The 24,836-nt window shown below is 43.3% G+C and overlaps 1 long non-coding RNA gene across 1 annotated transcript; it reads left to right on the top strand.

Annotated features, from left to right (window-relative positions):
* Positions 1 to 1,175: 1,175 nt before the first annotated feature.
* Positions 1,176 to 24,836, top strand: LINC01648 (long intergenic non-protein coding RNA 1648). Its single transcript, NR_110790.1, has 7 exons — positions 1,176 to 1,290; positions 1,785 to 2,016; positions 9,298 to 9,498; positions 13,605 to 13,763; positions 21,867 to 22,068; positions 23,493 to 23,544; positions 24,279 to 24,836. It is a non-coding gene; the product is annotated as a long intergenic non-protein coding RNA 1648 (long non-coding RNA).

The raw sequence follows: 24,836 nt of genomic DNA, 5'->3' as shown, positions 1-24,836 counted from the left end.
GACTTGTAAATGGACAATGACAGCCACTCAGGGTTAGGGCATGAGGAACCTATGAGTGGGAGAGAAGGGGACATGGGGCAGGTAGTCAGCCCTGGGGCTGTTAGAGAAGGAGATGTAAAATCTTAATTGGGCTTTGAGGGATGAGTAGGAGTTTCCCTGGCATTGAAGATAGAAAAGGGCATCCCAGGTGGAGGAAGCAGCACGCACAAAAGCCAGGAGTGGTGGGGGATGGTCCAGTGAGGCTGGACCAAAGTGATGCATGGGGCTGTGGCCTCCACAATGCCAGAGATGTCAGGTCGAGAGTGACCACAGCTTTGGATGCCAGGATGAGGGGTGTGGACTTCATTCTCGGGCCAGTAGGGATCATGGAAGTGACTTGGTCAGATCACCAAGAGGAGATGGAGGCACGGAGGCCAGAGAAGAGGCAGCTGTAGGGCTGAGGTCAGGGGTGACAGAGGCCTGGTCCAGGGTGACACATGGGCAGAGTCCACATGCTGTGAGTCAGAGAGGGCAGCCTGCTTCCAGCTGATCCTTCCCCAGAGGACAGTGGCCAGTGCCCCCCTGGGAGCAGTGGATCCAGTGATTCAGGTCAGTGGGCATCACTAAGGGGACTCTGAGAGCCCAGGCCTCGGGGCAGATGGAGATTTGAAGCCTGGCTCTGCTTTCCCAACCATGTGAACATGAGCTGATCACTCAGCCTCTCTCACCCAGGGCCTGACACATGACAACAGAGGTGAACACGCTGCTCAGAGCCAATCTCCTTCCTAGAGTCTAGACTAACAACCACCACAAGCATTTGGTAGGTGCCTGCTGTCTGCCCCGCCCTGTTCTCAGCTTTACACCTAGTAATTATTCTAATCCTTACACCAACCCCAGTGGGAACCCAGAATGTGAGCACTACCCGGGACTAGGTGACCCAAACCTCACCTCTGGTCTACGGATGGGCAAGAGCATATGATGCTTGCTGATAGGTGGGACTGGCATGAGAACTGAGGTCTTACCTCATCCACTTCCCACTCACACAGCCTCCCCCAGCCCTGGCCTTACGTGCCCCCTTCTTCCCACCTGGCTCCCTGGTTGTTGGCCTCAGGCAGGGCCCCACATGGCACAAATGTCCATTGTCCACCCACCCGCTGGGAAGGTGACATTTACCCATGGGTGTGTGAGGGATAGTCACAGACTCCACATAGGCCAGCAGGAACCAGAGCAAAGCACCCGGAGCCTCAGCTGTTAAAATGACTGGTACTGGGAGCTGGAGGTCTCACTGGCCGTGACTGGGTCGAACCCAGGGTAAGGGCCTTTCTGATTGGGAGAGATGATGTCACAGAGTGACCCTAATGGATGGCACAGGGCAGGGGTGGGAAGGCAGGAAACTGAGAAGCCCTGGGGGGTGGCCTAGTTGGGGGAGCAATACCCGTCTTTGGAGCCAGATACACCTGGACTGGGACTCCACCTCTGCCTCTCACTTTGGGCCTCAATTTCCTCATCTATAAAGTACTTCATAGGCATAGACTGGGGGAACAAAATTGGAGCACTGGAAAGAAATCCTTTAGCTCATACAGTTAACTCTAAAGATTGTGCAGGGGAGGCACCTGGAGCCCAGAGAAGGGAGAGTGACTTGCTCCAGGCCACACAGCAAGCTGGCAATGACTTGCTTGCTGTTGTTTTGGAAAGCCCAAATGGGAACCAGTGACTAATTCCCCTGGGTTTCCAATCCCCAGCCCAGACCTAAAGAGAATCTCTAAGGCAGAGCTAAGAAATCTGTGTTTTAAACAACCTCCCAGGTGCATCTGATGAGTGCAGGCATGGTAGACTCAGGTGACCCAGAATCTTTTGGTTCAGGGAGGTCACATAGCCCAGTAAGAGCCAATGAGATGCAGCAAAACTGCTGGAGATGGAAGGACAAAGACACTGAATCTTTCACTCTGGAATTGAGCCTGAGATGTGAAGGCTGGAGCTGCTGCAACCATTCCTGAAGCAAGAGCTCTGCATGGACTCTGCCTCCCTCTTTGTGAGGTCAGTTGTGTTGCATTTTCTTCCCATCATCTGTAACTGCAGGTTACAGCTGTTAATAGTCCTGCAGTTACAGATGATGGGACTATTAACAGATGGGAAGTTACAGATGATGGGACTATTTGCAGTTACAGATTATGGGACTATTAACAGCTGTTGTGAATAGTCCTCTGCTGCTGTTCACACCCTCAGGACTCAGTTTCCCCATCACTCAGTAAAGGAATTGGGCTGGATAAAGTCCAACGGCAGACCCAGCTATGGCATTCCAAATTTTTACGAAACCCGAGGGCCTGGTGAGAATCGGAGCTCTCAGAGTCAGCCAGGGATTTTTCTTGCTGAGTCCCCAGGTTCCCCAGGGATGCTGAGATGGCAAACAGTGGGAGGAATATTGACAACATCAAGTCAATCTTAGCTGTCGCTTATGTGCCTGCTGGGAGATCTAGTTCAGGAAAAACTGTGCCAGGGGAGGAAAGAGCTTCTTGCTGAGCCCAGGGATTGCTCAAGGACAGGAGGAGATCCTCATGTTGACAGTGATGCCCACGGGCTCACAATAATCTCTCTCAGTTTTGTAAAATGCATTCTTATCTACTTGAACATCTCATGGCACTGGGTGGGAAGCAGGACCCAGGAGGACAGGGCAGCCCAGAGAGGTTAAGTGGCTCGCCTGAGGTCACACAGCCATTACAGGGCTAAGCCAGGGCTTGAACACATCTCCACATGCTCAATCTCCAATCTCCCCAGACAGCCCTGTGCCCCTGACTCAAGTGTGGCCAGGTGTGGTGGCTGAGCTGATGTTGGACACTTCTGGATGACCATACATGGCTACCTGGGTGGAATCTTCCTTTATATGACCTCCCAGGAGGGGAGGGGAGGGGAAGGGCAGGGGAGTGGCCATTGCACGCAGCCGCAAGGTAGCATTGTGGCCACACAGACTCTGGCTTCACAACTCAGGGCCGTGGGACCTGGGACCTGGGGCCAGTGACCTCACCTGTAAGTCAGACATTAACAAGAGTCCCTATCTCACAGCCTGAGGTGCAGTATAAATCAGCTACAGAGCTGCTTGGGGGTGCCAGGCACACAGCGAGTGTTACGAGTGTTACGTGAGGGTATCTGAATAACCTATTTGCAGACAGAACATGCTTCAGGATAGACAAGTCCCTCGAGGGTCTCAGCTGTCATCTAAAACCTTGGCCCTGACTCAGGCCCCTGGAGGATCCCAGATCATCTGCATTGTCCACACAGAAAGCAGCCTTCTTTCCTCTTGGCATTTGTATCTGAGCTCGCCTTGCCCCTCATCAGGCCTGCCCTTTCTCAGCAGGCCTCATCGTTTCAGGCCTCCTAAGCCAGCCTCTCAGCCCACCTCTTTCAGGAAGCCCTCCCTGATTCACATCTGTGTCCCTGCCTTCAGCTTCTCTCCAGTGCTCACAAGCCCTGTGACTGGGCCTCTAGTTCTGCCTCCACCACTAACCCCAATGCCCTGGGTGGCTCCAGGTAAGTCGCTTCACCTCCCTGGGCCTCAGTTACTTCATCTGACAAATGGGCGTGACCATCCTGCCTGGTATCTCACATGATTGTGATGCAGATTGAGTGAGTGTGTGGTTGGGTGGGAAACTGCTTTGGAATGTGGAAGCCACAGGAGGACTGAGGCCGCCATAACCCTTGTGTGGCTGAGGGTTCTGGCCACTGGGTCCCGAGGGCAGATGTGCTCCATGGTCGAGTCTAGCACATCGGAGCTGTGACACCTCGGGCGAGTCTCATGGCCTCGAGGAGGTGCATTCCTTACCCGTGCAACAGGAAGAGCCGTGTTACCCGCCTCTCAGTGGGGTGTGGGGTTAGATGGGAGGAAATACCCACACATAGCAGGGGTGGGTGGCCCTCGTCCATCACTAGGACTGACAGATGGGGGTGGGGTGGTGCCACACGGGTCTCGCTGTCCAGACTGTGCCGTGTCTTCCCTCCCCCCCGGGTCTCTCCCAGGCCGGGCACCCTGTGATGGATCATGGCGGTGTCTCACTGAGCTCCCTGACATCTCCCTGTGGATTTTTGCAGAGTTCTCCCTTTTTGTCAAAACGCCAGCTTGGATTTCTGCCAAGCATGACACAATCTGGGAGAAGAGTGACAACCACTAAACGCTGTCAGGATGCAGCGGAGGCAGGAGTGAGGGCACAAGGATGCTGAGAAGCAGGAGCAGACGTGGGCCTGGGAACAAGGGGGACGCTCGACAGGGCCTGTCTCCCAAGCCCGGCCGAGGACAGGCCACCGGGCGGCCGTCAGGAGGACCTCAGAGGGGCAAGCGCCCAGGAGAGGAGGTGCTGTGACTGCCTCATAGAGTCTGATGGCACCTCAGTCCCCTGAAGCTGCCACAGCTGCGATACCAGTGCCAGAGCCCGTCTTTTGGGCACTTGCTGTGTCCCTTTATCCTCATAACAACCTTCTGAGGGAGGTTCTTTTATTACTCTTTTATTTAAAAAAAAAAACAAACAGATGAAGAAATGAAGACTCAGAGAGGTTGAGGAACTTGTCCAAGGACACACAGCTAGGAAGGGGATAGGAGAGACTATTGTCAAGCTCCTAAGCAAGCTACCAAGGGACCAAGACACTAAAAAATGAATTGTCTCCAAGATGGGGAGGGGAGTACTGGGAGTGGAAAGGGAAACTTCTGTTCCCAAGGCCAAGGTTAATTCCATCCTCGGCCACTTCTGAGGTCACCTGCAGCTGCAGTGGTGAGTTCTCAGGCCAGCAGGTAGCGGCCCACCTCAAGGGCTTACTGTCCCCGGCCTTCTGGCCTGAAGGCTTCTTCTGGGGCTGTGGGAGCTGGCTCAGCCCTCCTGTGGAGCCATCTGGAGCTCCTATGGACATCCAACTCCCAAGCAAGGGATTAACACCGCCAGCTCCGGTCCCTCAGTGGACTGTCCTGAGGTGCATTCAGCATGGGTTCCTCAGAGTCACCAGTGAGATTGAGGCCCAGTCATACCCTCCTCTGTCTTATTCCCCACACCCCTCATTTTTGCTTCCTAGGAACCCTTCCCAAGCCCTTGTGTCAGGTTCTGCCTTCAAATCACCCCAGGTTAGGACACAAAACCAAGTCCCTCCAGAGGTGCTGAGCCCAAGCCTGCCTCTTGGACACACCTGCGGAAGCAGGTAGAGACCCTCACAGGCTCTGCAAGCTTCAGAGGGGCAGAGCTGGCTCATGGTGACTGAGCCTGAGGCAGTAGGAAACACAGCAGAGCATGTCCAGTGGTACTGGAGGAAGGGCAGGCCCAGCAGTCAGCCCGTCTGCCCTAAAGCTAGGCTCAAGGAACTGCGCTGAGGTAGAAACTGGGTCTGAGTCACTGGGGAAAACAGAGCTTGTAAGAGAAGGTGGAATAAATAGTCTGGGACTGCAGGGGCTGAGATCAGCCTTGAGGATGTGCCAGTGAGAAACTGCAGCCTCTCCCTAGGCCAGCAAGGGGCATCAAAGGGCAGAGAGAGCCCATCTGGGTGCTGGACACTGACAGTCCCATAAGTCAATACATTGAAAAGATATCTGCATGCCCATGTTTATGGCAGCACTATTCACAATAGTCAAACTATGAAATCAACCTAAGTGCCCATCAATGGATGAATGGATAAGGAAAGTGTGGCACGCACACACAATGGAGTATTATTCAGCCATAATAAAGAATGAAATCCTATCATTTGCAGCAACATGGATGGAACTGGAGGCATTATGTTAAACTAAGCCAGGCACAGAAAGACAAATATTGCATGTTCTCACTCACACGTGGGAGCTAAAAAAAGTGGATCGCATGAAGATAGTAGATTGGTGGTTACCAGAGGCTGGGAAGAATATGGGGAGGGGTGGATGAAGAGAAGTTGATTAATTGGTACAAATATATAGTTTGATAGAAGAAATAAGACTTAGTGTCAGAGAAATAGGGTGAGTACAGTTTAGAATAATTTATCATACATGTCAAAATAGCTGAAAGAATAATTTGAATGTTTCTGGCATGAAGAATAGATAAATATTTAAGGTAATGGATAGCCCAAGTACATCAATTTGATATTTACAAATTATATGAATGTCTTATTATCACATGTACCCTGAAATGATGTATGCCTATTATGCATCAATTTAAAAAATAATAATTTATAAAAAGAACGTTGTTCTTTTTCTTACCAAAATGCCAGGGCTTTGGCTAAGGTCCTATTGCTCACTGCACAGAAAGCCCATCACTGAGTTAAGTATTGCCAGGGAAGAAGGCTTTATTCAGGTGCTACAGCTGAGGAGATGGAGATCAGTCTCAAAGCCATCTCCTCAACCAACTAAAGTTAGGGATTTATGTAGCTGGGGAGAAATGCAACTACATGTGGAAAACAGGACTTAGGAGTAAGGAAGAGGAGTTGGTCAAGAGGAAGCAGGCAGTGGGTTAGGCAATCATAAGGGGTGAGAGGTCTGGCACCTCATTGTCCAGCTTCAGTTATCTGGTGAATTTCAGCTCCTTGATACTATCTGGGGGCCCTGATGGTTGGTTTCCTGAGAAAGCAACTCAGATAAGACAAATGCAGACACGCCTGTAATTCCAGCTACTCAGGAGGCTGAGGCACGAGAATCACTTGAACCCAGGAGGTGCAGGTTGCAGTGAACCAAGATTGTGCCACTGCACGCCAGCCTGGGTAATAGAATGAGACTCTGTCCCAAAGAGAAAGAAAGAAAAAAAAAAAAACAAATGTAACTTTCTCAGGTTTTAAGACAGGGAGGGTAAATTTCTATGTTTATTCAAAAGAAACCATAAACATCACTTCTATGGGACAGTTGGGCTGGTTTCATTTCTTTGTTTCAGCAACTTGGAAGCCCAAGGCCAGGTCCATGGCTAAGCTCCAGCAATGGGAATAAATGGCATGCATTTCTGTGTGCTTATTTCACCCACAATCTCTCTTTCCTCCCGTTTCCAGCGATTTATATTGTAATTTTGCATTATGTGTATTTTTGGTAAGCTGCCTCAATGGCTTACAGGAATGGAGGGAGGCATAATTAACATATAAGCCTCACAGGTGTGCAACAGTTGACACTTCTATTCCTATTTTAATTAAAAAATAAGGATTTTTTTTCTGGAAAAGTGGGAAATATACACTGTAAATATTCAAGAAATATGGAACAATACAGAAAAGTAAAATAAACATCTCCAAGACCCAGAAACAACTGTGATAAACTCTTGGTGAGCAAATTCCAGGCATATCTCCATGAGCATAAACAGGATGTTACAGAGGAGATGGACTGACAGAAAAATATATAGGATCATATGTTTCTTTGAATTTCAGAGAAGAAATGTAAATTGTGATAAAATTGAAGGAATTACAAGCTTCAGATGAATTCTGCTTCACAATAACATATCCTTGAATAATTATGCAGAAAACATTTTGAAAAGCATTAAGGCATTATGGTCATGATTTTGAAATAACTACTGATTAATTTTTTTTTTACTGAATGTGATAATGCCTGGGTAAAAAATGATTAGGAAATTAGCACACCTATACTTCTTCTCACCCTTCATTCTACCACCTTCTGATTTTGTCATATTGTGTCAAAGTCATACTTTTTCATGCTCTTCTGAAACCACAGTTGTGGCTCTTTAAGCTTAGACTTTTCTATACATTTATATGGATTCAATACTCAGCACGAATCCTCTTTTTTTCCTCCTCCTCCTTCTCTTCCTTCTGTCCCCCACCACACACTCTGCTGGCCTTGTCTTACCTGAGTTCTTTATATTTTTTAATGGGTTTGTTAGTAGTATTTTTCAAGAGTCAGGAAGGTTATTTCTTGTGTCCTGGCACAATTGAGACAATATCTATTGCCATCACACCTGGAAAATCAACTTGATTGGGTATTAAATTATAGGGTTCTATTTTCTTGCCTTCAGATGTTGGTAGATGTTGTTCTACCACCTTTTGGAGTTGCTGTGGATAAGTTTGCACCAAACTAATTTCCCCCCATCATTGTGGCTTGACCAATGAGACTAGTTTTGAATCTCAGTTGTATCATGCCAATCTGCTTGACATATTTTTATCAGCTTTTCTCTGTAAAAGATGTTGTACACTTTTAATCTACAGATTCAGGAATTTTTGTTCATTTGTTTGAATTTTAGGATTTTTTTCTTGCATTATTTCTTAGATTATGTTGTGCCATTTGCATCACTGGATACCCATATGTTTGAAAGTCTTTGTCTTGCAACTCTATCACCGTCTTCCTAATTTGGAAAAGAAACAAAGTTCTTTTCTAGTTACTTCTAACTTGTTCACAATATTCCTTACAGTATTTTAATTATGCCTATTCCTTTTTGGTGTTTTGAATGTAGCTTTCATCTCTCCTGTTTCTTTTTCTCTATTCCATTTCATACCTATGCACAGACAGTTTGGTTTAACGTTGTGCTGTTATTTTATAGCTCTTATTTCAATCCATTTTATTTTTTTTAAGAGATATCACATTGTCTGTTATTTCTTAATACTATGGAAAACAATTTTTCTCATGTCTTCCCCTGATTCTTTGGGCAGTTCCTCTTATAGTTTATTTTCTTCATCTGTCTTTATGTTTTTTCTCTCTTTTTTTTTTTTACAGCATCTATTCATAGTTCCTGAATCCGTTTCTTTTTAACCCATTTCTGGATGGGGCCAGCTCTGTGTGGGATGATAGTATGGGAAGGGATGGGAAAGATGGGCTCAGGTGGTTAGCAGCTTCCATTTGAGTTTGTTGTCTTAGACACTCTGACCACAGCAGTTATTTTCTTTGCAGTGGGAGCAGAGCTCTGTGTTTGACATCCCAGAGGTCAGCATGGCCTCAGCCAAGCTGTTTAAGTCACTACCTCTAGGGACTATTCCCAGGGCTGGCTGGGCCCTTGTTCTCCCTCTCCCTACTTAGCCTCTGGAAGCTCCTTGGGTAGGTAGGGTTGGGCCTGGGAAGTGGCACATCAGTGTGGCTTTTCCTTAAGCTCAACCTCTCTGCAGACCTGCAGCATCCAACTGGGTCTCCCCAGGGATGACCTCCAGTCCCTAGGGGGCCTTTCTGGGTCTCAGCACTTTAAGCTAAGGATTTTTGGACAAACTTCTCAAGTCGAAGATCCTTTATTTTAATGAAACTGGCTGGTACTCAAGGCCTGAGGATGTTCACGTCCATTCTCAGCTTCTTCATTTGTTCTGGTATAGATTTTTTAGTACTTGGTAGATATGTTTCAGATTGTGTGGATGAAATTTCTAGTATAAGTCATAATAAAAACATACCCTTTTGCATTTGTGTTGTTGTTGTTTTAGGTGGGTTTTGAGGGAGAGGAATAAAATATGAATGTGTCTTCATCAACATTTTCACCTGGACATCGTCTTCTATCCATTACCTCTTTCAATCCCAGCACCAACCCAGGAAAGTGGGCAAGGCTGTGTCCCCTGGGAGCAGAACAGAGAATTGGAGGACCAGCACTCGAGAGCTGAACAAGCCTGCATGGCCATCCATCATAGGTAAGAGCAGACAGTGCTCACATGTACCCTGCACCACCCCAGGGACAAGTCCTGATGTGGGACCCAGCACGTTCTCATACACTGGGCTTTGGCATGTGTGAGACTTCAGCTCGAACAGCATGCATGTGACACTTCTGTCCTGCTCTGCACTCCTGTGGCAGACATCACCAATCAATCACAGCACTCTTCTTTCTGATCCTGAATTCAGCCCCAAACTCCTTGTCAAGGCAACACATCAATCAACAAGACACAACCAACAAAGCAACATTAGCTTGTGAAAGAGAACCTACTTCCTAGACCAGCATTAGAGACTCTCCAGCTCCTCCAAATGTTGGTGCTAAAGTCAGACAGTCCTGGGTTTCACCTTCAGCTCTGTGAATGACTAACAGGCTGGCAGTATATTTGTCTCTCTGAGTCTCAGTTTTCCCATGTGTAAAGCAGGATCACTTGCCTTCATTGAGGGGATTACTGAGGTAATGTGGGTAAAGTTTATAACAGATATCTGATAACAATTTTGGAAAGAAATGAGAAAATTCATTCTACATCCTTCTTCTCCTGGTGATGGATGCAGTTTATGAAGACCCAGGAAAGTAGACATGTTTCATCCATGTGTCAACTCCGGTACTGAGTTAAGATTGTGAGGTCAGGTCAGACTTAATGGGGCAGGTATTGTAATCAATTAATCATGTCTGTCATGGGCATGTGATGGGAAATAGTGATGTGTGTGCTGCCACATGTGAGCTGGGGAGTGAAAGAGAGGTTGGGAGATTCAGGCCCTGCTTCATCACCCACATCCCACTGTTTCTTGTGGACCACACAGGCATATGAGAAGAAAGGTCTGCTATTGCTAATATGGTGTTCCCTGCTTCCCTGATGAGTCTGTGTGGTGGGAAGGTCACTGGCAGAAGTGTCAGAAAGGCTGTATTCCAGTCCTGTGGATTGGCTGCAGGTCCTTGAGCAAGCATGTCCTCTCTGCTTCCCCGGAGGTAGAGAGTAGAGGTGAGGGGGTGATAGTAGTGCATAAATGTTCAATCTGGAAAGTGGGATAAGCTTAGATGATTCCTAAGAATCCTTCCAACACAGACACTTAATACATTTTTTTCTGTATATTGTTTCTTAAATGTAAATTTATGTATGTATTTTACATGTTTAATTGTGGTAAAATACACATAACATAAAATTTACCATTTTTACCATTTTAAAGTGCACAGTTCAGTGGCATTAAGCATTGTTGTGTAACCATCACCACTTCTCCATCTCAAAACTTTTTCATCATCTCTATCTTAGTTCAGGCTACTGTAACACAATAGTACAGAATGGATAGCCTAAAAACAAACATTTATTTATCAGAGTTCTGAAGCTGAGAAGTCCAAGATCAAGGAACCTGCAGATATGGTGTCTGGTGAGGACTGTCTTCCTTGTTCATAGACAGCTGTCTTTGTGTTGTGTCTTCACATGGCAGAGAGAGAACGCTAACCTCTTTCTCTTCTTTAAAAGACTCTAATTTTATCATGGGGGCTCCACTCTCAAGACCTCATCTAAACCTAATCACCTCCCAAAGGTCCCACCTCTTAATGCCAGTCCACTGGGGGTAAAGATTTCAGCATATGAATTTTGGGGAGACACTACCAGGCAGTCCAAGAACAATCCCACACTGAAACTTTGTATCCATTAAACAATAACTCTCCATTCTTCCCTCCCTCCAGCCTGTGGTAACCACCATGCTACTTGCTGTCTCAATGAGTTTGACTTTTTCAGATATTTCATGCAAGTAGAATTATACAATGCTTGCCCTTTTGTGTCTGACATATTTCACTTAACATATGTCTTCAAGGCTCATCCACATTGTAGCAAGTGTCAGAATTTCATTACTTTCAAAGACTGAATAATATCCCATCGTATGTAGGTACCACATTTTGTTTATCCATCCATCCGTCTATGAACAATTGGGTTGTTTCCATCTCTGGCTATTGTGAATAATGCTTCCATGAACCTTGTTGTGCAAATATCTGTTCAACTGCTTTCAGTTCTTTTGGGTATATACCCAGAAGTGGAATTCCTGGATCAAATTCTATGCTTAATGTTTTCTTAGCAATCATCATGCTGTTTTCCATAGTGGCTATCCCATTTAACATTCCCACCAGCAATGCCCAAGGGTTCCTATTTCTCCACATCCTCACCAACACATGTTGTTTTCTTTTTTTTCTTTTTGTTTTTAAATATCATAGCCATCACAATGAATGTAAAGTGGTATCTCATTGTGGTTTTGATTTTCATTTCCCCAATTTTTAGTGATAGTGATGTTGAGCCTTTTTTCATGTGCTTATTAACCACTCATATATCTTATTTGGGGAAAAGTATATTTAAGTCCTTTGCTCATTTTTAATGTTGTTGCTATTGTTGAATTGTAGGTGTTCTTTATGTAATCTGGATATTATTCCCATATCAGAAATTAATTTGCAAATATTTCCTTCCATTCTGTGGATTGCCTTTTTACTTTGTTGATTGTGTCCTTTGATACACAAAAGATTTTAATGGAAAAATGAGGCTAAATGTATTATTTTTTTCCATTTTTCATCTATGTTGTTGGTGTCCTTTCCAAGAAGTCATTGCCAAATCCAATGTCATAAAGATTTTTCCCTGTATTTTTTTCTAAGGGTTTTACAGTTTTAGCTCTTACATTTCAGTCTTTGGTCCATGTTAAATTAATTTTTATATACAGTATAAGATAAGAGTCCTACTTAATTATTTTGCATGTGGATATCCAGTTTTCCCAATGCCATTTGTTGAAAAGGTTGTCCTTTCCTCATTGAATGGTCTTGGCACTATTGTTGAAATCATTTAACCATATATGTGAGGGCTTATTTCTAGGCCCTCTGTTGTACATCATTGGCCTCTATGTCTGTCTTTTTGCCAAAACCACACTGTTTTTATTACTGTAACTTTGTAATAAGTTTTTGAAATCAGAAAGTGTGAGACTTCCAGCTTCATTCTTCTTTTTCAAGATTGTTTTTGGCTATTTGGAGTTCCTTGAGATTCCACACAAATTTCAGGATGAGTTTTTCTATTTCGACAAAAAAAAAAAAATCACTTAATCATTAGGATTTGGTTGGGGATTGCATTAAATCTGTAGATCAAGTTGAGCAGCATTGACATCTAAACAATGTTAAGCATTCCTATCTATGAACATGGGGTATCTTTCCATTTATGTGTGCCTTCTTTAATTTCTTTCAGCAGTGTTTTTTAGTTTTCAATGTACAAGTCTTTAACCTTCTTGGTTAAGCTAATTCCTAAGTACTTTAATTTTTTATTGTAAATGAATCATTTGCTATAGTAAATGTATTGTCTTTTTAATTTTCTTTTTGGATCACTCACTGTTACACTGTTAGTGTATAGAAAATGCAAGTGATTTTTTGTGTTGATTTTGTATCCTACAACTTTGCTGAATTTGTTTATTAGCTTTAACAGCTTCTGCATGTGTGTGTGTGTGTGTGTGTGAGTGCGTGTGTGTGTGTGATCTTTAGAATTTTCTACATATATGATCATGACATCTGTGAACAGAAATAATTTTATTTCTTATTTTCCAATTTGGGTGACTTTTATTTCTTTTTCTTGCCTGATTGTTTTGACTAAGACTTTCAGTATTATGTTGAATAGAGGTGGTGAAAGTAGGCATCCTTTTCTTTTCTGTTTTTCCTGATCTTAGACTAAAAAAAACTTTCAGTTTTTCACCATTGAGTATAATGTTAGTAATGGCTTTTTAAAAAAACAAAAACAAAAATAAACAAACAACAAATACCTCAAATCTTCCTGCTTTTGAGTTACCTAAGCAAACCCTAGAAAGTCACTGTAAGTCCGTATGGAATTAAAGGGCCTGGACTTGCCTCCTAAATTTTATGTAAATCCAAGCCTGTCTTGTTGTGCAGGGGCTTTGGTTCATTTGAACTCTTGGTGACATAATCTGTCTTATTTCCAGCCGAGTCTCTAATCCCTGAAATTTCCATGGTGCTAGTAGTTATGAACAAAATTTCTGAAGCACAGAAATGTTGCATCCTGTGTACAAGATTACACAAATTAATAGAGTTTTTATTAAATTTATTTTGCAGTTACTAAAGAGATTAGACTAACTCTCTGTAGCTCCAGAGGGCAAAAGAAGAACCACTTGGTAGAATCCACCAGAGGCAGTTTTGAATTCGAAGAGAAGAAGCACTTTCTAATGGTCACACAGCTGGCCAGCCCTGAGTGAGCTGTCCCAGGAAGCTCAGGTGAGACTGGCTGAGTCCGGAGCCTGGTGTGGTCACTGTCAGGGGCGGTTAAGAACAAGGGCTTTGGTTCATACTTGAGTTCACTTCCTGACTCCCCACTTCCCAGGGGTTCAGGCCAGTGAGATAACTTGTATAAGCCTCAGCTTCCTCCTCTGTCAGTTGGTGACAGCCAGCTGTGACAGCATTGAGTAATGCTCCATGAGTGGTCACACTGTTATTTTGTTATTTAGAGTTGGGGATAAGATTTCTCCATTTTTATTTCCCCTGGAGTGGTCTCCCCTGACACCTCAGCTCTGTAGCCCCCTACCACCTCTACCAAAGGTGACAAGTTTGAGGCAAAGCAGAACAGGCTCCCCGGGCCCATCCTTCTCACTGTGCCTTGGGTCTGGCTGCCCAGGGAGCTCATGTCTGCCCTGCTCTCCCACTGCCAGAGGTTTTATAGCAACAGTCTTCACACCCCAACCATGGGGGACCTGGGTGGGGGTGGTCAGCACACCTCTGATGATGGGTTTCTCCCTGTCTAGTTCCAGGGGGTCCACAGGGGGGTTCACATGCCTGCATGGGTGAGCTCCATTCTCCAGCAATAGCTTCATCAGTAATAAACGGGAGGTTCATTTTCATCTAACATGCCCTGAATCCTCTGGATTGGTTCAGAAACAGGCAGGGAAACTGATTGCTTTAATTGGTTTTCCAAAATATTGTCACAACCACTGTGATAAGTATGGGGAAACCAATCATACAGCAGCCAACATTTGGTCTCAGTTTCCAGAACATCCCTTCATGATGGCAAGTACCCTGACTTTTTTTCACCACTGTAACTCCAGCCCCTAACACAGCGCCCAGAACATAAACATTTTGAATAAATTAACTTTTCCACAATACAGTGTATTAAGTGCCCTAATAAGGATATGCATAGAGGGCTATAGCAGCCCAGTTGTGGCATGGACATTAGACACTGGGGCTTTAGGGTAGTTACTAATATGGTTGGTGAGAAAAGCAGACGGAAAGGAGCAAGACTAGAAGCAGGTGATTAGTAAGGGGCTTCTCTAGGAACCCAGAGAAGTGATGAGGCTTAACATCACTTGGCAACAGCAAGCTCTGTTTTTTTCCCAGAGAGATGTGGCTCTATCTGTTTGGATGAGAAGTAATTTTACAGATTCCATGGATGTATGAGTGAGGATATGTGAGACTCTGCTGCAATAACAAACAATCCCCACACCTCGGTGGCTTAAAAAAACACAGGGTCATTTCTTTCCCAGTCTGCATATCCGTCAAGGGTCAGCTGTGTCTCTGCTCCATGTGCCACCCCTCAGGGTGCCAGGCTGATGAAGTCACTGCAGTCTATAAAGTTGACTGTCACCAGGGCAGAGGGATAAACAACTCTGGAGGTTGGCTATGGTGGTGGCATGTCTCACATCCACATCAAAGGCTCTGACCCTGAATTGAAACATGTCATTTCCACTCAAAATGAATAAGCCAGAGCTAGTTACCTAACTAGTCCCAGCCAGCTTGAGGACCAGGAAATCAATCCTACCACATATTGGGATAGGTCAAGTCATGAGATGCTAAGTGAGCAAAACCAAAGACTCCCACACCAAGTGTGCTTGTCTGGGTGACTCAGTGGATGATAGCATCTTTCAGTGGGAACCCTGAAAAAGTGGAAAAGTAATAACAAAGGGTTTTCACTTCTGGCCCAACAGTGTGAGGAGCTCTTCAATCCCTACCTTCTATGAAACAGGTGAAAATTACTGGAAAAAAAAAAAACTTAAGTGCCTAGAAATGACCATATAGTAAATGAAGAAGCATGCGTTCAAGAAAATCTACTGAAAATTGATAAGAACTGCTAGACTCTGTAATATTTGAACCAAGATCCATATTTTTCCCACTCCTTCCCAGCTCCACAAGATAAAAATTTCACTCAAGATTGGTAAATCCAAAACACAGAACTTCCTCTCCCTGCAGCTCCCAGTTAGAGACCTATCTTCCAAGGAGAGGCAGAATGTCAACATTTCTCATCCTGCTCCAGCTACTGATTGCTAAGACTGAGTTCCAGGCAACTGCAGCCAAGAGGTGGAAGTTCCTGTCTTCTGCCCAGCCTCAACCTGTGGGACCAAGGCTCTACCCTGGGTGCAGTGTCACTGAGAATAAGAGGCCCTGATTGCACTTGTCTCAGGGTCATGAAGTGAGGGTCCCAGACTGAGAGAGATGAGCCCAAGACACCTGGTGTTGCTATTGTTTTGTCTACTAAACACCCAGATCCTAAAGAGGGAATGTCACTGAGAGAGATGAATGCCATTGTCCCCAACCTCAGCACCAGAGCTGAGGCTGAGAGATTTTTCTCAGAGGTGGAAGCTAGGCAAAGAATAGAAAGCACCAAGTAAATCTCCAAAGAACTGACTTAATTTGCAACAGAGTGTGGGGAAGTTCAAATCTAAGGGAACTGTCAAAATCAGGAGAAGTTGTGGTGAAAGGCAACTGAGAAGAGAATGATAGGTTAATTGGAGACATAGGTTAAACTGGGGTCCAGCTATTTTGCCAGAGAGAATTAGGGGAAGAGACAGGTGGGAAGACACCCCCCTGGGGGCCGAACAAATCTCAGATGCTGATTTGGAACTATACCTTGAAAGAAGCCTAAATTTGACTGGAATTTGCCTGTGAAGCAATTTCTGCTCCAGCGTATTGTTGAAAATGACAGAGCAATCAACTGGCAATTAGTGGAGCTTAAGAACTGGGTATAGTCAGAGAAAGAGATAGTTAAAGAGAGTCTTGCAAAAACCACAGTAACCCCAGGGTGACTATGGGCATACCCACTTCTATTCAACATTGAACTAGAAGTTCTAGCCAAGACAATTAGGCAAGAAAAAGAAATAAAAGAAATCCAGATTGGAAAAAAAAAAGTTAAGTTATCTTTAGTTAGAGCTGACATTATCTTGTAAATAGAAAGTCCTAAGAAATCCACTAAATATTTGCTAGAACTAATAAATGAGTTCAGCAAGATTACAGGATAGAAGATTCATATATAAAAATCAATTATATTTCTACACACTTGCAATGAACAATCTAAAAATAAAATTTCAAAAACAATTATGTTTACAACAGCATCAAAAATTGTTTACAACAGTATCAAAAAGAGTAAAACATTTAGGAATACATTTAACAAAAGTGTAAAACCCATACTCTGAAAATTACAAAACATTTTTGAAGGAAATTAAAGGAGATATAAATTAATGAAAAAACATTCCATATATGTGTATTAGAAAACTCAATATTGTTAAGATGGCGATACTTTCAAATTGATCTGTTGATTAACTACAATCTCTGTTAGCATCTCAGCTGACTTCTTTGTAACAATTAACAAGCTGATCCTAGAATACATGTGGAATTGCAAGTGGCCCAGAGTAGCCAAAACAATCTTGGAAAAGAGGAACAAGCAGGAGAACTGACATTTTCTGATGTTAAAACTTATTACATTACAATGGTAATAAAGACAGCATGGAACTGGCATAAGAACATATAGATTAATGGAAGAGAATTGAGAATCCAGCAATAAACTGATACGGTTTGACTGAGTCCCCACCCAAATCTCATCTTGAATTGTAGCTCCCATGATCCCCACATGTCATGGGAAGGACCTGGTAGGAGGTAATTGACTCATGGGGGTTGGTTTTTCCTGCGCTGTTCTCATGATAGTGAGTAAGTCTCGTGAGATCTGATGGTTTTATAAAGGGCAGTTCCCTTGAACATGCTCTCTTGCCTGCCAACATGTAAGGCATGCCTTTGCTCTTCCTTTGCCTTCTGCCATGATTGTGAGGCCTCCCCAGCCATATGGAACTGTGAATCCATTAAACTTTTTTTCTTTATAAATTACCCAGTCTTGGGTATGTCCCTATAGCAATGTGAGAACCGACTAATACATAAACCCATGTGTCTATAGTCAACTAATTTCTGACAAGCATGCTGAGAAAAATCAATGGGGAAAAGAACTGTTTTCCAACAAATGGTACTATGACAACTGGATAGCCATCTGCAAAGGAATGAAGTTGAACTTGTACCCTAGGCTATATATGAAAAATAATTCAAAATGGCTCACGCATAATTAAGAGCTAAACCTATACAACTCTTAGAAGAATACATACAGGTAAATCCACATGACCTCAGATTTGGCAATGAATTCTTAGATATGACACCTAAAGCATGAGTTATTAAAGCAAAATAGGTAAACAACTCAATAAAAATTAAAAACATTTGTACATCAAGGGATACTGCCAAGAAACTTAAAAGACAAGCCAAAGACTGGGGCAATGTGTTTGCTAAATGTATATCTTATGTGTTTGCTAAACATATATCTATGACAGATATATATATATATTATATATATATATGACAGATTTGCTAAACATATGTCTAGGACAGATTATATAAAAACTCTTATAACTCAACAATAAAAATACAAATAATTCAATTAAAATGGGCAAAGGATTTGAATATATATTTATCCAAAGAAGATATACAGGCCAGGCACGGTGGCTCACGCCTGTAATCCCAGCACTTTGGGAGGCCGAGGCGGGCAGATCACAAGGTCAGGAGAGTGAGACCATCTTGGCTAACACAGTGAACCCTGTCTCTACTAAAAATACGAAAAATTAGCTGGGCATGGTGCGGGCGCCTGTAGTCCTAGCTACTCGGGAGGCTGAGGCAGGAGAATGGCATGAACCCGGGAGGCAGAGCTTGCAGTGAGCCGAGATTGCACCACTGCACTCCAGCCTGGGTGACAGAGTAAGACTCTGCCTCAAAAAAAAAAAAAGATATACAAATAGCCAGTAAGCACATGAATAGGTGCCCCACATCATTAGTCATCAGGGAAATGCAATTCAATACCACAATGAGATACTACTTCATACCTACTAGAAAAATCAGATGAATCTAAAAAGTGTCACAAGTGTCAAGGATGTGGAGAAATTAGAATCCTTATACAGTGCTGGTGGGAATGTAGAAGGTGTAGCCATTTTGGAAAACATTCTGGCAATTCATGAAAGTGTTAAACATAGAGTTACAATAAAACCCATCAATTTTACTCCTTGATATGAGCCCAAGATAAATGAAAACATATGTCCACACAAAAATTGTACACAAATGCTTACAGTGGCCTACCCATAATAGCCAAAAGGTAGATACAACCCAAATGCCCATTAACTGACTAATGGATAAACAAAACGTTTAACCATAGAAAAGAACATTATTTGAACATAAAAAGGAATGAAGTATTAATACATGTTACAACTTGAAGAAACTTTGAAAACATTATGCTAAGTAAAAGAAGCTAGTTACAAAAGACCACATATTACATGATTCCATTATATAAAATGTCAAGAAGATGGAAATCTATACAGACACATAATAGATTAGTGGTTATCTAATCTTGGGGCTTGGGGGATGGAAGAATAAAGGTTTGATAGCTAAAGGGTATGGGATTTTTTTATCAGGTGATAAAAATGTTCTAAAACTGATGGTGGTAATGGTTGCACATATCTGTGATATACTAAATACCATTGAATTGTACATTGTAAATGGGTGATTTTTATGATATGTGAATTATACATCAATAAAGCTATTATAAAAAGTAATAGCACAAATAGCTGCCTTTAAGGTAGGAATTCTGGAATGGCAGAGGAAGGGCCTTTAAACATTCTGCTCCTCTATGAAAGAAACAAGAACACTGGTAAAATTGTCAAAATCAACTTGTTCAGAAAGTCTGGAAATTAATCAAAGGCTTGCAACAATCCAAGGAGCGTCTGTTCAAGAACAACTACTGAATCTCAGTAAGAACAGAGAGTTCTGTGGTGGTTTAACTTACCCTGTTCTGCTCCTCCTGTGTAGTAGCCTTGAAAAGCAACAACTTAGCAGCCATTGTAGCTGTGAGCACCAGCAGCATAGCAGCTGCTGGAGAGGGAAGACCAGTTTGGGTGCTCCTCCAAAGACCCAGAGAACTGTCACCATTTTCTCTGTTTGGCAGCTCACTGGATAAGCCCCATTACAAGGCTTATCATTATTTGACCTAACTCAGAGGTCACTCACTGGGGAAAGCCCTATCTTCAGGGTGTTTGCTAAAAACAATCAGCAGAAATTGTTTATCCTTGCAGCAGAGAAGACAGTAATACCAGTTGAAGCAAACAATATGCTGGCCAAGAAACTTAAAAGGAGGATCTGGAAAGTTAAATATCCATAGGTAGGGGGCATTGAAAAGTGTCAGCATATTCCTGGGGCTCCAGAAGTCCTTGTGCATGTACAGGGCTGAGCCTACACCCAGGAAAGACCCGTGAAAGCTCTCCTCTTTCATCTCTGGCTGACCTTGAGGCCCTGTGCAAGCAGGAAGTGTGGGGTCAAGGCAGAATTGTAAACTACTAGAATGTGGAAGGTGTGTCCTGAAATCACACAGGGCCTTTTGGCAAAGAGTGAGAGATTATTGGTTCAAGGTATTTGAGGAAATCTCTGTCGAATCATAGACCACTAAGTTACCTGAGTGGAGAATTCAGCCACCACACATAATAAGAAATACAGACTTTAATGACTAAGTTCAAGAAAGCCACTCAACAGAGAAGCAGCAGCAGGAACAGCAACAACAAAGTCCAAGGAGGGCATTAGAAATCTGATTTCATATGTTGTCCCATTAGATTATTTAAGGTGTCCAGTTTCAACAGAAAAATTTTACAAGGCATGCAAAGAAAGAAGAATACAACCCATACGCAGGTTAAAAAAAAAAAAGTAGTCAATAGAAACCATCCTTGAGAAAGCTCAGAGTTTGGACTTACTAGACAAAGACTTTAAGATAGCTATTATAAATACATCCAGACAACAAAAAGAAACCATGTCCAAATAATTAGTAGACAGTCTGCAAACAATGTTTCTCCAAATAGTGAGATAGAAATTACATTTTAAAATAGTCAAATGGAAATCCTGAAGCTGGAAGCTACAACAACTGAAATGGATATTTCAATAGTGACTCAATAATAGATGTGAGTTGGTGGTAGAAGAAAAAAAATAGTGAACATGAAAATAAGTAGTAAGAGATTGCTCATCCTGAGGAATAGATAGAAAAAAAGAAAAACAACAGAAGCTCAGAAGCTTATATGGCACTATCAAGCATACCAACATACACATAATGGGACTTCCAGAATGAGAGCAAAGAGAAAAACAGACATTGTTAGGAAATAATGGCTGCAAATTTCCCAAATTTGAAGAAAACATCAACCTACAAACCCAAGAAGCTCAACAAACTCTGTGTAGGATAAATGCAAAGAAATACACACTAGACACACATAGTCAAATTGTCAAAAAGACCAAGACAAAGAGAGTATCTTGAAAGCAGCAGGAGAGAAATGACTCCTGCTTATATATGAGAAAGTCTCAATAAGATTAATGCTGGCACTTCTCATCAGAAACCATAAAGGCCAGAAGGCAGTAGGGTAACAGATACAAAGTGCTCAAAGAAAAAAAAAATGAATCAAGAATTCTGTATCCATGAAGTCTTTCCCCATGCCTATGTCCTGAATGGTATTGCCTAGGTTTTCTTCTAGGGTTTTTATGATTTTAGGTTTTACATTTAAGTCTTTAATCCATCTTGAGTTAATTTTTGTATATGGTGTAAGGAAGGGGTCTAGTTTCTGTTTTCTGCATATGGCTAGCCAGTTTCCCCAGCACCATTTATTAAATAGGGAATCCTTTCCCCATTGCTTGTTTTTGTCAGGTTTGTTGAAGACCAGATGGTTGTAGATGAATGCATGTGGGGCTTAAAACCTAGATGACGGGTTGATAGGTGCAGCAAACCACCATGGCACATGTATACCAATGTAACAAACCTGCACATTCAGCACACGTATCCCAGAACTTAAAGCAAAATAAAAAATAATTAATTAATTAAAGAAGAGAGGGCACCAAATTAAAAAAAATCACTGACGACCTTTTGTCAATGTGGGTGGGTCATATCTATCAATATATACCATATTAAAAATTAAAACTGGGAATTTAAAAACATACACTTATTACTTCATTTAAAGTTATAGTAATAAACTCATTTGTATTTACATAAAAAAATTCTATATCCAGGGAAACTATCTTTCAAAACAGAAGGAAAAATTAAGATGTTCCAGATAAGCAAAAACGGAGAGAATCTGTCACTAGCAGAGACGCTCTATCTACAAGGAGTACCAAAGAGAGTGCATCAGGCTAAAATGAAAGGACTTTGAAAGGACGGTAACTGGAATCCACAGGAAGAAAACAAGAGCACCAGTAAAGATATCTCTAAAAGGTAAATATAAAAGGTATCTCTAAACGGTAAGTGTAAAAGACAATGTAAATGCATTTCATGTAACTCTTTTATTCTCATCTGATTTTAAAGAACTGAAACAATGCAGTAATTATAAATCTGTGTTGGTAGGATTCTAATGTATGAAGATAATTTGCATGACAGTAATAGCACAAAGGAAGGGAGAGGTAATGGAGCTTCCTGAGAGCAAAGTTTTTGTACACTATTGAAATGAAATTGGTATTAATCTGAGCTAAATTGTTTTAAACTACTCTGTTCATTATAATCTCCAAGGCAACCACTAAAAAATAATTTTGGCCAGGTACAGTGGCTCACACCTGTAATCCCAGCACTTTGGGAGGCCGAGGCGGTTGGATCACAAGGTCAGGAGATCGAGACCATCCTGGCCAACGTGGTGAAACCCCGTCTCTACTAAAGTACAAAAAATTAGCCAGGCGTGGTGGTGCGCACCTGCAGTCCCAGTTACTCGGGAGGCTGAGGCAGGGGAATTGCTTGAACCCGGGAGGCAGAGATTTGCAGTGAGCTGAGATTGTGCCACTGCACTCCAGTCTGGCAACAGAGCAAGACTCCATCTCCATAATAATAATAATAATAATTTTAAAATATAGTAAAAAAACAACAAGGAAATTAAAATGACATCAATGGCAGAGCTAGAATTAAATCTTGGGTCAGGGTGACTCAGGGCCTCCTGCACAGTTACCAGCCCATACCCACAGTCGCCAGCTCCTTCACACTCATGTGTGTCCCATGAGCTGGGTGGTGTGGGGAGCAGAATCCGTGTTATATGTGCAGAAAAACTGAGACAAGGGAATGTGGATGCCCTCATTGGTGCTGTGGCTTGTTTGTGGCAGGGCTTGCTCTAGAACCGAGGGCTCTGGCTGTTTGGCCTTGAAATTTGTGACATAAACTCATAACCACTTTCATTGCACACTCAGTCCCTGAGTCCAAATCTTCAGGAGGCTTAAGAATCACCTGGCCAAGAGTCGATATGTCTATTCAACATGCTGATCCCTAGGTCCCAGTGATTCTGATTCTGTATCAGACAGGGCCAAGGAATCTGTAATTCAGGTAGACACCTCCCACCTTACCACTGCCCTTCTCTTCCCAGGTGACTCTGATGAAAGGTTGTGTGCAGACCAAACATGGAGAAATGCTGATTTTAGGATATTCCTGGCCTGCTCTAAGTACTGTCCCCTCATTTTGGCACAATTTTGCAGAGGATAGACCATGGCTTCAGCCTGCCTCTATTGCCATCCATATCTCAGCATCTACTAATTCAGTTTAAAGCATTCAGAATAGTGCCTGGCACAAAGTACACATTTTATAATATTAGCTCTATTTGTTTTTATTTCCTTATTTAATATTAGCTCTACTTGTTTAATTTCCTTATTTGTAATTCCTTACAGATATCCTCAATGCCATTTCACAGGTGAGGAAATGTGGGCACAGAGAGGTAAGGTAAGTTGTTTAACGATGCACAGCTTGTCAATCACAGAGCTGGAGCTCAAACTCTTCCATGAGACTCCAATGCCAGTGTTCCTAACTGCTAGGCTGCCCTGTCCCCAAGGCACACACTCTAGATCCTTTCCTTTGCATCTGCACCCATGGGCTGAGTCAGGCGAGGTCACCCAGGTGCTGGACTCAGGCTTTTCCTGCCTTTTAAGATGAAGGAAGAGCTCTTGAGGGTAGGGGAGGGAATGAGTGGTGGACCCCTGACTCCTTTATGCCCTTCTGAGCTCACCTCTGATCATCCTCCGGACTCAGGAGCTCTCCAGAAAATGGGTGTCCTCCCCAGTGGACTCTAGATTCAATTTGCTGCTACTCACTGTGAGGAAGTTCCAACTGGCATCTCTATACTGGGTGCTTAAGTAAGAAAGTGACAGTTCATCCTCAGGACAATGGGCCTGGGTTTCAATCCCAGCTTCACCTCCTTCTGGCCCCGGGTTTGAGCCCTTGGGCAGGCCTCAGCCTCCTCATCTGTTAAATGGGCATAAACATTGAGTCTATCTCAATGGGCTCTCATGGGGGATAGTACACACCAAGTGTTCACAGCACAGTGGCTTGCACGGACCAAGGGCTTGGCAAGAGTCAGTAGTTAGTGATAATATCATTCTCAGCACACAGGCAAAGCCATGTGGGCTTTTCTCTGACATCGTTTCTTCCTGGTCTTTCCATTGAAAATGTATCTGAAGTCCTGAGTCACCCCAAGCTCTCCTTGCCCCAGAAGTCCCTCCTCTGGAGTTGTGTTAAGTTTCAAGGGCAGATGCAGGAGTCAGGCCAGGGCCAGATTTTAGCTCTGAGCCCTCAAGGGCTCCTGGAGCCATCTGGAGCCTCTGGAACCGTCTGAGCCCAACTCTCTTCTGAACTGAGGCCCATGCACCTGCTCTGATGGAGCCAGGCCCTGACTGCAAGTTTCCTCTGCCAAAGTGCAACCTCAGGGGATGTGGATCAGATGCCATTTGAGAAGAACATGCTGAGAACAACTGAGAGATGGCAGCATTTTTCAGCTCGGGGAGAGAGCAGGGTGGGTGGATGAGTCTGCCTAGGGCTGGAAACTCTGTCTTCTGCCATGGGACTGCATGTGGCCTTGGGCAGCCTCCTTCTCTGCTCCAGTCTTGGATTCCTCATCTGTCAACTGGGGTGATGCCATCTGTTCAAAGTGTTGTTAAGAACATGGTGGAAGAGGATCATGGGATAAGGCTATATCCCCAAGCTCATTTACAGCAACAATGAGCAGTTATTAAGCACCA

Source organism: Homo sapiens, chromosome 1 (assembly GCF_000001405.40).
Source record: "Homo sapiens chromosome 1, GRCh38.p14 Primary Assembly".
In the NCBI taxonomy this organism is placed as follows: Eukaryota; Metazoa; Chordata; class Mammalia; order Primates; family Hominidae; genus Homo; species Homo sapiens.
The sequence above is the reverse complement of the archived record's forward strand: the minus strand, read 5'-3'. Positions and strand labels throughout refer to the sequence as shown.